The sequence below is a fragment of the Homo sapiens genome, chromosome 17, assembly GCF_000001405.40.
Source record: "Homo sapiens chromosome 17, GRCh38.p14 Primary Assembly".
Classification (NCBI taxonomy): Eukaryota; Metazoa; Chordata; class Mammalia; order Primates; family Hominidae; genus Homo; species Homo sapiens.
In genome coordinates this window covers 35632324-35645719 of record NC_000017.11, presented here as the reverse complement: position 1 = coordinate 35645719, position 13396 = coordinate 35632324, and the positions used below count along the sequence as shown (strand labels likewise).

General features: G+C 40.1%; 1 protein-coding gene across 16 annotated transcripts in view; it reads right to left on the bottom strand.

The window, feature by feature from the left end:
• Window positions 1-13396, bottom strand: part of AP2B1 (adaptor related protein complex 2 subunit beta 1) — a 139092-nt gene that overhangs the window by 80694 nt on the left and 45002 nt on the right. For all 16 annotated transcript variants that reach the window (XM_011524450.3, XM_005257938.4, XM_047435509.1 and 13 more), the window contains 3 exons: window positions 9264-9379; window positions 5960-6125; window positions 3745-3843 (listed from right to left, as the gene is read on the bottom strand). In XM_011524450.3, coding sequence (XP_011522752.1) covers window positions 3745-3843; window positions 5960-6125; window positions 9264-9379 — 381 coding nt within the window. The remainder of the gene's footprint in view (window positions 1-3744; window positions 3844-5959; window positions 6126-9263; window positions 9380-13396) is intronic.

Genomic DNA, 13396 nt, shown 5'->3' with positions numbered 1-13396 from the left:
ATGCCACCACGCTCGGCTAATTTTATATTTTTAGTAGAGATGGGGTTTCTCCATTTTGGTCAGGCTGGTCTCGAACTCCTGACCTCAGATGATCTACCTGCCTCGGCTTCCCAAAGTGCTGGGATTACAGGCATAAGCCACCATGCCCGGCCTTTGTTTGTATTCTTTACTCAGTTGAACTGAATATTGTATTGAATTTCTGTGTAACAGGTAAGAGAAAAAGATAAATTTTTGAAATGAAGCCTCAGATTCAAGGGTTGGGTTTTTCCCCCTAACTAATAATATTTTTAATTATACTCCCATTTTACTTAAAAGCACTAAGATTTCACATATACTTCACTTAATTCTCAGCACAGGTAAAGAACAGTATTAATTAACTCTACTATAGAGACAGAAGAAAAGCAGTATGAAAGAAATTTGCTCAGTCATGTCCAGAATCAGTGGAAGTAGCATCATCAGAACCTCACTACCCAATTTAAGTTAACATGTGCTCGCTTCGGCAGCACATATACCAATTTAAGTTAACACAATTCAGCCGACCACATTGCATCCTAAACTTAAATTGGTACTCACTAGCCATAAATATTTAGGTTCTTATTTCACAAACTTGGGGAAAAAACAGAAAACTTCCAGGTAAAAAGACTTACATAGGCATACTTATTCTTTTTTTCTTTCTTTTTTTTTTTCCGAGACAGAGTCTTGCTGTATTACCCAGCCTGGAGTGCAGTGGCATGATCTCAGCTCACTGCAACCTCTGCCTCCTGGGCTCAAGCGATCCTCCCACCTCAACCTCCCAAGTAGCTGGGATTACAGGCGTGTGCCACTATGCTCCGCTAATTTTTGTATTTTTTGTAGAGATGGGATTTTGCCATGTTGCACAGGCTGGTCGAATTCCTGAGTTCAAGTGATCCGCCCGCCTTGGCCTCCCAAAGTGCTGGAATTGCAGGTGTGAGCCACAGCACCCAGCAGCATACTTACTGTTTTATGATAACTTCTCAGACTTCATTAATTAATTGGACAGAAAAAGCAAGCCTCAGCCAGGCTCTGTGGCTCACACTTATAATCCCAGTGCTTTGGGAGACCAAGGCAGGAGGATCACATTAGATCAGGAGTTCAAGACCAGCCTGGCCAACATGGTGAACCCTCATCTCTACTGGAAAAAAAAAAAAAAAAAATTAGCTGGGCGTGGTGGCATGCACCTGTAATCCCAGCTACTCAGGAAGCTGAGGTAGGAGAATTGTTTGAACCCGGGAGGTGGAGGTTGCAGTGAGCCGAGATCACGCCACTGCACTCCAGCCTGGGTGACAGAGCTAGACTCAGTCTTGAAAAAAGGCAAGCCTCGAGAAGTTGCTTATTATTTATAGTATGAAATAATCATCCACAAAGACCTTAAAACTAGCAAACACACATATACATATGGGCTTATGCTCAATATTGCTTCAGGCAGGGAATAGGTATTCTCCAAGTCATTCTTAACCTTCAGACTAGAGAGGAAGCATAGCACAGTGGACAAGACCATGGGCAAGACCTAGAGCCAGACTATCTGAGTCTGAGTCCTAGTTCTGCCCCATAATAATTAGGCCTCTCTGAGTTTCCTCATCTATAAAATAGAAATCGTTTACTAACCCTTACTAGGATTAAGTGAGTTTCTAGCCTGTCCTGTTCTAGGAAGCTTATGAAAAATGCATCTAAGGCTAAAGAGCGTTAATTAAACCCAGAGTCAGGAAACTGCATGCCACAGTGGCCTACATAGTTTCCATGGGAGATTGTTAAATGTGATTCTAAGGTTTCAAACAACCAATATGGAAAAGAAAGCTGATCAGGCATGCTACACTGATACACAGAAAAATCCAAAACTTGTTAGAAATTTGATGGGGCTTCATAAAGAAGAAAACATAATGAAGTAAGTAATGACTCTGATAACAAGCTAACAACAGATCCAAATAGGGTAGTTTCCCATGACGACTGTTATTACTACAGACTGATAGTATTTTAGTATCAGCGTAATTTAGTAAAAGCAATTTTATTAGGGGTCAAAAACAATGCAGTCCAGGTATCCAGATGTCTATTAATAATGCTTGATTCAGAGGTGAATTTCAGACTATCTGTAAGAACAGCACTACCTTGTATCCTTTAAGCAATCCTTCCTAAATACTTTATCTCAGTCAAATTTTGATAAATACTTAAGAGGTAATGAGACTGAGTTTGAAGTCTGGCCAGAATTCGTAATACAGCTCTCCTATGGTGCCTGTTAAATACAATCACATAGGCTTTAACAGACAATGATGATAAGGTTGAGAACTTGTGAAAACAGAGGAAACTACTAAACATACTTGCTTGAATATTTACAGTAAGCAGAGAGGAAGAAAGGCCAAAATTCTCTTTAGAAATTGTTTTGACAGAATGTGAGCTGCTCTAATAATGTCATTCTATGTGACCACTTACAGCAAGCTTGTCCAACCTGAGGCCACATGTGACCCAATACAAATTCGTAAACCTTCTTAAAACATTATGAGATTCTTTTGTGATTTTTTTTTTTTAGCTCATCAGCTATTGTGAGTGTATTTTATGTGTGGCCCAAGACAATTCTCAATTCTCCTCCCAATGTGGCCCAGGGAAGCCAAAAGACTGGACACTCCTGACTTAGGAGTTTAAAATTAAAACATGAAACAGAGTACAAAAAAAAAAAAAAGGCTGTGGGGGGTGTGGGAGGAATAAAGAAATTGTTTTGAATTCATCTTAGAGATGCAAATGGGATCCAGGAAATTAGAATGCTCAATTCAATACAGATAATATTAACCACTGATGTTTATAATTGCTTTGCTTCAGGCAGAGGAAGATGCTTAAGAAAGTTTTTAAAATACTTCAAAAAGCTCATACAAATACATTTTTTTAAGTTGTAGTAACAGGAAAAATTATGGCTCAGAACTAGGCAAAGTACTGTGAAAGGGTTTTAAATTTTGATTACACACCAGTATAAAGGGATGACAAAGACAGAAAAATGGTAAACTGGATATCTGAATCATATTCCATTTGCAGACACACATCGTAACTCTGACAGCCTGCTAAAAAGCCGGCCTGTTAGCAAATCCATTTATGAACATTACTAAATCATCAATGGACTGATGATCATTATACTAGTTACACTAGAAAACCTAATTATTTTGATTTCTGTGGATCTAATATAATGACCTGATATTTAAAGCCAGCTGCCACTTTCCTGAGATCTGAATCCATCTAAACTTCTTTTCTTCTGACCTAAAAAAACAAATAATTCCAAGGAGATCCAAATATATCAAATAATACAAGGAAGCAGCATAAACACTTAATTTCTGTGAGAAAGGCAACTACTCTGGAAGGTAGAACAATGCATGAAACTTTACTGAGGCATCTATTATCTCCACATGGTACTTTCATTTGAAAGCTGAAATGAAGTCACAGTGAAGCAGGTACTATCAGATCACGTCATTTTCATCTAAGTATGTCCTTCACTAAACTAAGAGTCTAGGTTCAATTTTCATGAATTATGAAAACTGGAATCAGTCAACTCATTTAAAAGCCACAGAATTAGCTACAATTCAGTTGAACACGTAAAAAGGCATTGTTTTAATATTTTAACAGGATCTAAAGGCCATACTTCCTTCAAATAAAGCTTCCCCAAATGAATCCCCTAGGAAGAGTTTCATAATTTCCTACAATTTGAAACAAGACAAATCAACATCTTGCTTTTTCCAGATTTCTTACCTGTGTTGCCAAACTCAAGACCTGCTGGACTAGCTCCTGTGTTTCTGATGGTTTCTTGAGAAACAGCTTCACTATGGCAGTAAGCAGAGTGAGCTGCACCTAAACAGACATAATTTGTGATAGTGTGAAAGAATGGCACTGGCATTATTCCCTGCCATCATCTCCAAAGTGGTGTTTCCCCAACTATGAATTACTATGGAGCCTTTCTGATTTTGGTTAAGAGACAAAAGGCTGAAACTCAATCAATATCAACAACAGCAGTCAAAAGTATTCGTGGGAAATACAAAGGTATTCAACCGAAAACTCTACCCTTTTAACCTCGAAATGCATTTTTGGCACAAAATATTGCTTGTTTCTAAGACAGATAGTTACCTGTGTTTATTATTATTATTATTACTATTATTATTTTGAGACAAGGTCTCCCTCTATTGCCCAGGCTGCACATCCATAGCTCATTGTAGCCTCAAACTCCTGGACTCAAGCAATCCTCCTGCCTCAGCTTCCCAAGTAGCTGGGACTACAGGTGCAAGCCACTACAACTAATTTTTAAAATTTTTGTATTGTTTGTAGAGATGTAGTCTTGCAATGTTGCCAGGGCTGGTCTCATAGCCCTGGCTTGAAGCGATTCTCCCGCATCAGCCTTCCAAAGTGCTGGGATTACAGGCATGAGTAACCGAGCCTGGCTTGTATTTCTTAAAGTATATGTTAACATACTGATGGTGATAAAATTGGCTCCTGAGCAAGTCTTTCATTATTTACTTCTACCAAAAGCTACAATTTGGGGGGAATTATGGAATCATCTGTCGTACTGGGGCAAGAGCCAAGACAGTAGAATTATGTCAGATTACAGCCTATTAGGAGTTGGCTGCTAAACCACAAAGCTATTGACTTGTACATACTCCTTGAATTAGGTCTATTAAAATTGCTATAGTAGATTACATACATTATTTTCTATTTGCTTTGAGTACAAATGCCAAGAAAAAAGGGCTTAATAATTTATTGGCTTCCTGGTTCTGTGGCTCTAATTTTGGTAGGGGAAAGTGAGAAGCAGTCTCAGAATTTTCATCCAAAGATAATCTTTTCAAACCTCACCACAGCCTCTAGCGAAAATCCCTGCTGTAATGAGCCACAGCCATTACTAACAGAAATGTGTAGTCATTCTTAGGTGACAGAAAATAAAAAAGTAGTGGTAACTACTGCTCTAAGCCAGTGGTTGTCAATGTGTGGTTCCGGATTGCCAGCAGCAGCATCACCCTGAACCTTGTAAGACATGCAAATACTTAGGCACATCTCAGACCTACTGAGTCAGATACTCTCAGGGTGAAGCCCAGCAACATGTGCTTTAAAAATGCCCCCCAGGTGTTAATAATGCTCACTGAAGTTTGAGAACTACTGGTCTGAGTTATGTAGGTTTTTAACATTAGAAATCAGTAAAACTGGCCAGGCAAGGTGGCTCACACCTGTGATCCCAGCACTTTGGGAAGCCGAGGTAAGTGGATCGCCTAAGGTCAGGAGTTCGAGACCAGCCTGGCCAACATGGTGAAACCCTGTCTCTACTAAAAATACAAAAAATTAGTTGGGAGTGATGGTGAATGCCTGTAATCCCAGCTACTCGAGAGGCTGAGGTGGGAGAATCGCCTGAACCTAGGAGGCAGAGGTTGCAGTGAGCCACAATCCTGCCACTACACTCCAGCCTTGGCAACAAGAGTGAAACTGTCTCAAAAAAAAAAAAAAAAAAAAAAAAAAAATCAGTAAAACTGGCCAGGCATAGTGGCTCATGCCCGTAATCCCAGCACTCTGGGAGGCCGAGGCGGGTGGATCACCTAAGTTCAGGAGTTCAAGACCAGCCTGGCCAACATGGTGAAACCCTGTCTCCACTAAAAATATAAAAATTAGCCAGGTGTGGTGGTGCACACCTATAATCCCAGCTACTTGGGAGGCTGAAGCAGGAGAATCGCTTGAACCCAGGAGGCAAAGGTTGCAGTGAGCCAAGATCCTGCCACTGCACTCCAGCCTGGACAACAAAGCGAGACTCTGTCTCGAAAACAAAAACAAAAAATTAGTAAAACTGAGAAGAGACATCCCTGTTGGGAGAAAAATGAACATACTATATGTAAATACAGACACAGAAGAAACTGCCTATAACCTTTGCTTTCTCTGAAATCTCCCCAAAGACATCTAAAACTACTAGGATAGACAAGAGACAAGAACTTACCTGGGTGCTTTCATCGTGAAAACCCTCCAGGAAGCTTTCTAGTAACTCATCTGCATTGTCAATTCTTTCAGCATATTCTCCCACAATCCAAATCATAGCTGCTCGAGCATCTGGCTCATCCAGCGAGTCTAAGTTCTCACACAGAGTGGCGATGATACTTTCATACCTGATGAAAAAAAATGAACTATGGTTATTGAGGGCAAAACTAAGAACTAATTTAACAGTGAAGGCTAAAGGCAAAACCACAAACAAGGGACCCTAAACCAAACCACCAAACTGTAAAAGCTTTTAGTCAAGAGAATGAATAGGTTTTAAGTCAGAAGATTTTAATGACTTAAATTTCCCTTCAATTATTTTTTAAGACCTAGACCTTAAAACCTTTATAAAAATTCATCAGATGTTCTTTTGTTTTGTTTTTTGAGACAGGGAGACAGGGTCTCACTCTTGTCACCCAGGCTAGAGTGCATTGGCATGATCATAGCTCACTGTAACCTCAAAGTCCTGGGCTCAAGCGATCCTCCCTCCTCAGTCTCCTAAGTAGCTAGGACTACAATTTAGTGCCACCACACTCAGCTAAATTTTAAAAATTTTTTTGTAGAGATGGGGGTCTTGCTATGTTGACCGGCTGGTCTCAAACTTGTGGCCTCAAGTGATCCTCTCACCTTGGTCTCCCAAAGTGATGAAATTACAGGTGCGAGCCACACTGCCATTTTTACAAGGAAAAATTAACCTGTGGTGTAAGATAATACCACTACCTTGTATTTGTAACAATCTTTCATATAAGTACATTAGAAAATTTTCCTATTGTTCCATTTTGCCTTCATGGTAGAGAGGAACAGAAATTCCACTTTATTTTTAGGCAAATGAAGTTAGACAACAACAGTGTCCAGACAAGAAATGGTAAATCTGTCCCTTAATCCACTTATCTCTGCTTTTTATAAAAGAGAGCTTTCTTTTTTTTTTTTTTTTTTCAAGACGGAGTGTTGCTCTGTCGCCCAGGCTGGAGTGCAGTGGCACGATCCCGGCTCACTGCAAGCTCCGCCTCCCGGGTTCATGCCATTCTCCTGCCTCAGCCTCCCGAGTAGCTGGGACTACAGGTGCCCGCCACCACGCCTGGCTAATTTTTTTATATTTTTAGTAGAGACAGGGTTTCTCCATGTTAGCCAGGATGGTCTCCATCTCCTGACCTCATGATCCGCCCACCTCGGCCTCCCAAAGTGCTGGGATTACAGGCGTGAGCCACCGCGCCTGGCCCCAAAGAGATCTTTCTTTATGTTAGTTCTTCTAAAGGTACCTGCACTGACTTATTTCTCCAAAGAAAGAAGTAATTAAAATATTTATTTTTACATATCTACAGCTCTCTCAGGCTTACCATGTTGAATCCATCTCCTTGGCTAATGTAGTTTTAACGATTAGAATGACCCTGTATAATAAATTAGATGTGGACAACTAAATAGCACACTTAACTAAGTATCTGCCTACTTTTACTGATTAAACCAGGCTCTTGATTGCTTTCTTAAACATAAACCGTCCTAACTCTTTATTAACCATAAACCAGAAATGGATACATTTCTCTACCAATCACATTCAGATACACATCTTCACCCTTAATAAGTTTAAATGTCGGGCACAGTGGCACAGGCCTGTAGTCCTAGCTACTGGAGAGGCTGAGGCAAGAGGATCACTTAAGCCCAGGAGTATGTGTCCAGCCTGGGCAACACAGTGAGATCCTGTCTGAAAACAAACAAACAAAAAAGTTAATTAAAAAAAGTTTAGGCTGGGCACAGTGGCTCATGCCCATAATCCTAGCACTTTGGGAGGGCGAGGTGGGGGGGATCACTTGAGGTCAGAAGTTCGAGACCAGCCTGGCCAATACAGTGAAACCCTGTCTCTACTAAAAATACAAAAATTAGCCGGGTGTGGTGGCAGCCACCTGTAATCCCAGCTACTCGGGAGATTGAGGCAGGAGAATGTTTGAACCCGGGAGGCAGAGGTTGCAGTGAGCTGAGATCACGCTACTGCACTCCAGCCTGGGCAACAGAGTGAGACTGTCTCAAAAAAAAAAAAAAATTTAGAAACCGACCCTCTTCTTTATTGGGAGAGTAGTAAAAGTATGTGGTTCTCTTTCCAAAATAACTATTTCTAAAATTTTAAAAATATACACAATGCTTAATAAACCACTACCTTGCCAAAATATATCTACTAATTCTTGAGCCCACCACTAAGCTAACTTACTACAAGCTGCTTCATTTAACACTATCTTTAAAGACGATCAGAAGTGGGCCGGGCATCGTGGCTCATGCCTGTAATCCCAGCACTTTGGGAGGCTGAGGTGGATGGATCACCTGAGGTCAGGAGTTCGAGACTGGCCTGGCTAGTGAAACCCCGTCTCTACTAAAAATACAAAAATTAGCCAGACATGGTGGCATGCACCTGTAATCATAGCTACTTGGGAAGCTGAGGCAGGAGAATCACTTGAACCCGGGAGGCGGAGGTTGCAGTGAGCTGCGATCGCACCACTGCACTCACCTGGGCAACAGAGTGAGACTCCATCTCAAAAAAGACAATCAGAAGCTCTATGAGTGTAAGGCAAAATGAGATTTAAGATGCTTATAAAACCTGCTTTTATTTCATTTTCAGATTCCTTAATTACTTGTTTTCAAAAATCAAATCTAAAAAGTATTTTTGCTTCATATACTAAGAGGCCCTCAATCTGAAAAACTTGTGAAGTAAAAATGCAGATTTTTTTTTATATATCTGTATGAGAATAACTACAATACTTCAGAAAAGGCATGAGACTGATAATGTTACATGTTCTGTAATTCTCCACAATGTAGTAGGTAACATGCAAAGTAAATAGCACAGCTGTTCCCTTCCTGGCTTTTATGGTAGGGTGCTATACGATATATCATCCAAACTTATACATTTCTGAGAAGAAAAGGTGCACAATCATTAATTATGTCTGGATAACAGGTATAAACTGAGATTATGCCTGAACAACCTAGAATATATAGATGTCCTATTTAACAGTAACTTTGCCATCAAAGAATCTGGTTAACTTTAAAATATGCCAATAGACAATGCATATTCAGGCAGAGCTTCAATTCTTCCTAAAGAAAGAAAGCAGAGTGAAAACTCAGGTTTTAATCCCTGTGCTAACCATTTTAATGTTTCCGATTTTTGATAAAGTATCCTATTATGACCAGGAACATTCAAAAGAGTAATTCTTACCTAGGCAATTTCAAAGTGCCTTAAACATTTCCTAAGTAATTTGAGAAAGAGGGGTAAAGGTATTTGGACATACTTGTTGGGGTATTTGCGGAAGATGTCCCTGATGACAACAATTGCTTCTTGGACCACATAATTCACTTTGGTCTGGATTAGATCAAGCAATGTGCTTACACAGCGCTCTGCAGATTGCTGGGAAGAAAAATACAAAAAATGAGAAGTCAGATGATCTATGCGATAACACCACCTCAACATAAAAATTTTGAAACATGCAGGTGCATCAACTAAACCAAACTAAATGATCAGGCACTTAATTTGACCAAGCTGTACTACAGGCTAGATACCAAGCTATATGATACAGTTTTATTTATTATTTGAACTGATAGGTGAATCAGTTCAAATGAATCCTTTGAATACAAACAAAAGGATGTTCCTCATGATGTATAAACATCTGAAAAACATTTATGTCAGGGATATTAATTTTCAAAGAAAATTCTCATCTCAACCGTACTGCTTTTGATTAAAAAAAAAAAAATACTACCAAGGCTAGGCGTGATGGCACATGCCTGTAATCCCAGCATTTTGGGAGGCTGAGGCAGGTGGATCACCTGAGGTCAGGGGTTTGCGACCAGCCTGACTAACATGGTGAAACCCCGTCTCCACTAAATACAAAAAAATTAGCCAGGTGCATGCCTGTAATCCGAGCTACTTGGGAGGCTTTGACAGGAGAATTGCTTGCATCTGGGAGGTGGAGGCTGCAATGAGCCGAGATCGCGCCATTGTACTCCAGCCTGGGCAACAACAGCGAAATTCTGTCTCAAAACAAAAAACACAAACAAACAAAAGGCCAGGCACTGTGGCTCATGACTGTAATCCCAGCACTAGCACTTTGGGAGGCCGAGGCAGCTGGATCATGAGGTCAGGAGTTCAAGACCAGCCTAGCCAAAATGGTGAAACCCTGTTTCTACTAAAAATACACAAATTAGCCGGGCGTGGTGGCAGGCACCTGTAATCCCAGCTACTCCGGAGGCTGACGCAGAGAATTGCTTGAATCCAGGAGGCAGAGGTTGTAGTTAGCCGAGATCACACCACTGCACTCCAATGTGGTTGACAGAACGAGACTCCGTCTCAAAAAACAAAACAAAACAAAACAAAGCAAAACAAAAAACTACCATTATGGCCAGGTGCAGTGGCTTGTGCCTGTAATCCCAGCACTTTGGGAGGTGAGAGGTGGGTGGATTACCTGAAGTCAGGAGTTCTAGACCAGCCTGGCCAACATGGTGAAACCCCGTCTCTACTAAAAATACAAAAATTAGCCAGGAGTGGTCACACATGCCTGTAATCCCAGCTACTTGGGAGGCTGAGGCAGGAGAATTGCTTGAGCCCGGGAGACACACAGGTTGCAGTGAGCCGAGATCGTGCCACTGCACTACAGCCTGGCCGACAGAGCGAGACTATGCCCCCAACCCCACCAAAAAAACCTACCATTACAGCAGTATGGCAGAGAAGTAGAGTGACATCCAATCACTGTATATACAAAAAGTCCAGAAACAGAGAAACACACACACCCATCTTGGATGGCCAGGAGATAGAAGTAAGAAGAATAAGCCATCGTAGGAGGAAAGAATAAGAATTAAAGAATAAGCCAAAGTAGGAGGTCTTTAACTGAAGTTCATGGATGAGTGGAGATAGCAGAGGGTGTCTTTAAACCTACTGAAATGAAATCGCCAAATTTTGTAGGAGCTTTCAAGCATATTTTCCAGTGAGTGGGTCTACAACTTCCATTACATTTTCAAAGTTACACATGATCCAAAACACTCCAAAGAACTGTAGTACTCGACAATTTACCAATATTGGGGCTATGAAACTTAAAAGTCTATGGCATTAGATAAACAACAATTTTCCATAGCCTATAATTAATCTATAAAATGGAGTTTTATCTGTTAATCTTTTATTAATGAAGAGAATATGAGAGAATACAGGTGAAAAAACAAATGTACAGAAACTATAAGTGATCATTTTTAAAAGAGAGAGATACCAGAACAGAGATCCTAAAAGTCAAGGACCAGCCTATCATATATTACAATGTACTATAATGGGTCACTCCATTATGTGCCTCCTGATAAGATGCAACAGGAAGTACAGAGAATCACCCAATAGGTATTCTTGCTAAAAATTCTGAACAAGAAAATTACCAAGCCTCTAGATTTAATTATTTAAAGAGGATGGAGGAATAGATAAAACTGCATCACTAAGATACAACAGCCAAATCCAGACTGTGGGAAATTCTATAAGCCTAATGACCTAGTTTCTTCAATACCTGGCACCAAAATAAGTAAGTAAAAAGACTTAAGAGACACATTATTCAAATGCAATGTGCAGACCTGAGACAGAGTCTTACTCTGTTGCCCAGGCTGGAATGCAGTGGCATGATCTTGGCTCACTGCAACCTTTGTCTCCTGGGTTCAAGCATTTCTCCTGCCTCAGCCTCCCGAGTAGCTGGGATTACAGGCGTGCGCCACCATGCCCGGCTAATTTTTTTATTTTTAGTAGAGACGGGGTTTCACCGTGTTGGCCAGGCTGGTCTCGAACTCCTGGCCTCAAGTGATCCGCCCGCCTCGGCCTCCCAAAGTGCTAGTATTACAGGTGTGAGCCACAGCGCCTGGCCCAGACCATATTTAGATTTTCATTTGCACAAACTGTAAAAAGACATTTTTACATAATTAGGGACAATTGAACATGTACTGAATATTCAATAAAATTAAGAATTATTGTTAGTTGCTGGGCATGGTAATGTGACAATATATTTTTTAAAGTATCTTATCTCTTAGATATACACACTGGACTACTTGAGTAAGATGATATATGGGATTTGTATTCGCATCCCACCCACCCGAAGGAAGAGGAAGAGGGAGAAGATAAAACGGAAACAGTTAACATATCAGTATTTGCTCAAGATGGATGATGACTACACAAGATCTCATTATTCAGTTTTACTTTATTGTACACCTGAAAATTTCTGTAATAAGATCTTTAGAAGTACTATAACAATCTAAACCACTATAAGCAATTTAATAAAAACAAAACTGTACCTTGAGATCATTTATATGAGGTCATATATAGGATGGTTCTGTTGTACCATGAAATGATTCTGCAGTCTGTTTTTTTTTTTTTTGAGACACAGTCTCGCTCTGTGACCAGGCTGAGTGCAGTGGCGCAATCTATGCTCATTGCAACCTCCCACTCCCTGGTTCAAGTGATTCTCCTGCCTCAGCCTCCTGAGTAGCTGGGATTACAAGTATGGGCCACCAAGCCCAGCTAATTTTTGTATTTTTAGTACAGACAGGGTTTCACCATGTTGACCAGGATGTCTCGATCTCCTGACCTCATGATCCGCCCAACTCGGCCTCCCAAAGCGCTGGGATTAGAGGCATGAGCCACCGCGCCCGGCCGATTCTGCAGTCTTTTATGTAGTTCTGTCCTTCTTCTGATTCTATTTATGTCCTCTATTTTATTCATTTTCAGCTATTAATTCCTTTGCTGTTATTGCAACAGCAAAACAGTTGGAAAAATTTAAATATGCTATATTTATTAATATTATAATTGTTATATTAATAAATTATGTAGTATGTAGAATATGGGCCACTGTAAGCATTGAATTACCATAAATTAATAATACAAGTAAGTGCTTAGCACAGTGCTTGATATAAAGCTCATATTTAGTAAATCCGTAGTATTATCATTAAAATGAATACAAATAAAAGGATGTTACTCATGATGTATAAACATTTGAAAAACATTTATGTCAGGGATATTAATTTTCAAAGAAAATTATCATCTCAACCATACTGCTTTTGATTAAAAAAAAAAAACTACCATTAAAGCAGTATGGCAGAGGAACAGAAGTAAACATCCCATCATTGTATATACAAAAAGTCCAGAAACAGAAATACATACAAAATTCAGTATATGATAAAGACAACATTTCATAACAGTAAGGAAAGAACAATTTGTTCTGGTATTTGATCCACTCTACTCATATCTTTCACTAAAATTATTTCCCGGTTGATTAAAATTACCCTTAAACTATAAAACAAGGGCTGGGTGCAGTGGCTTACACCTGTAATCCTAGCATTTTGGGAGGCCAAGGCGGGTGGATCATCTGAGGTCAGGAGTTCAAGACCAGCATAGCCAACATGGTGAAACCCT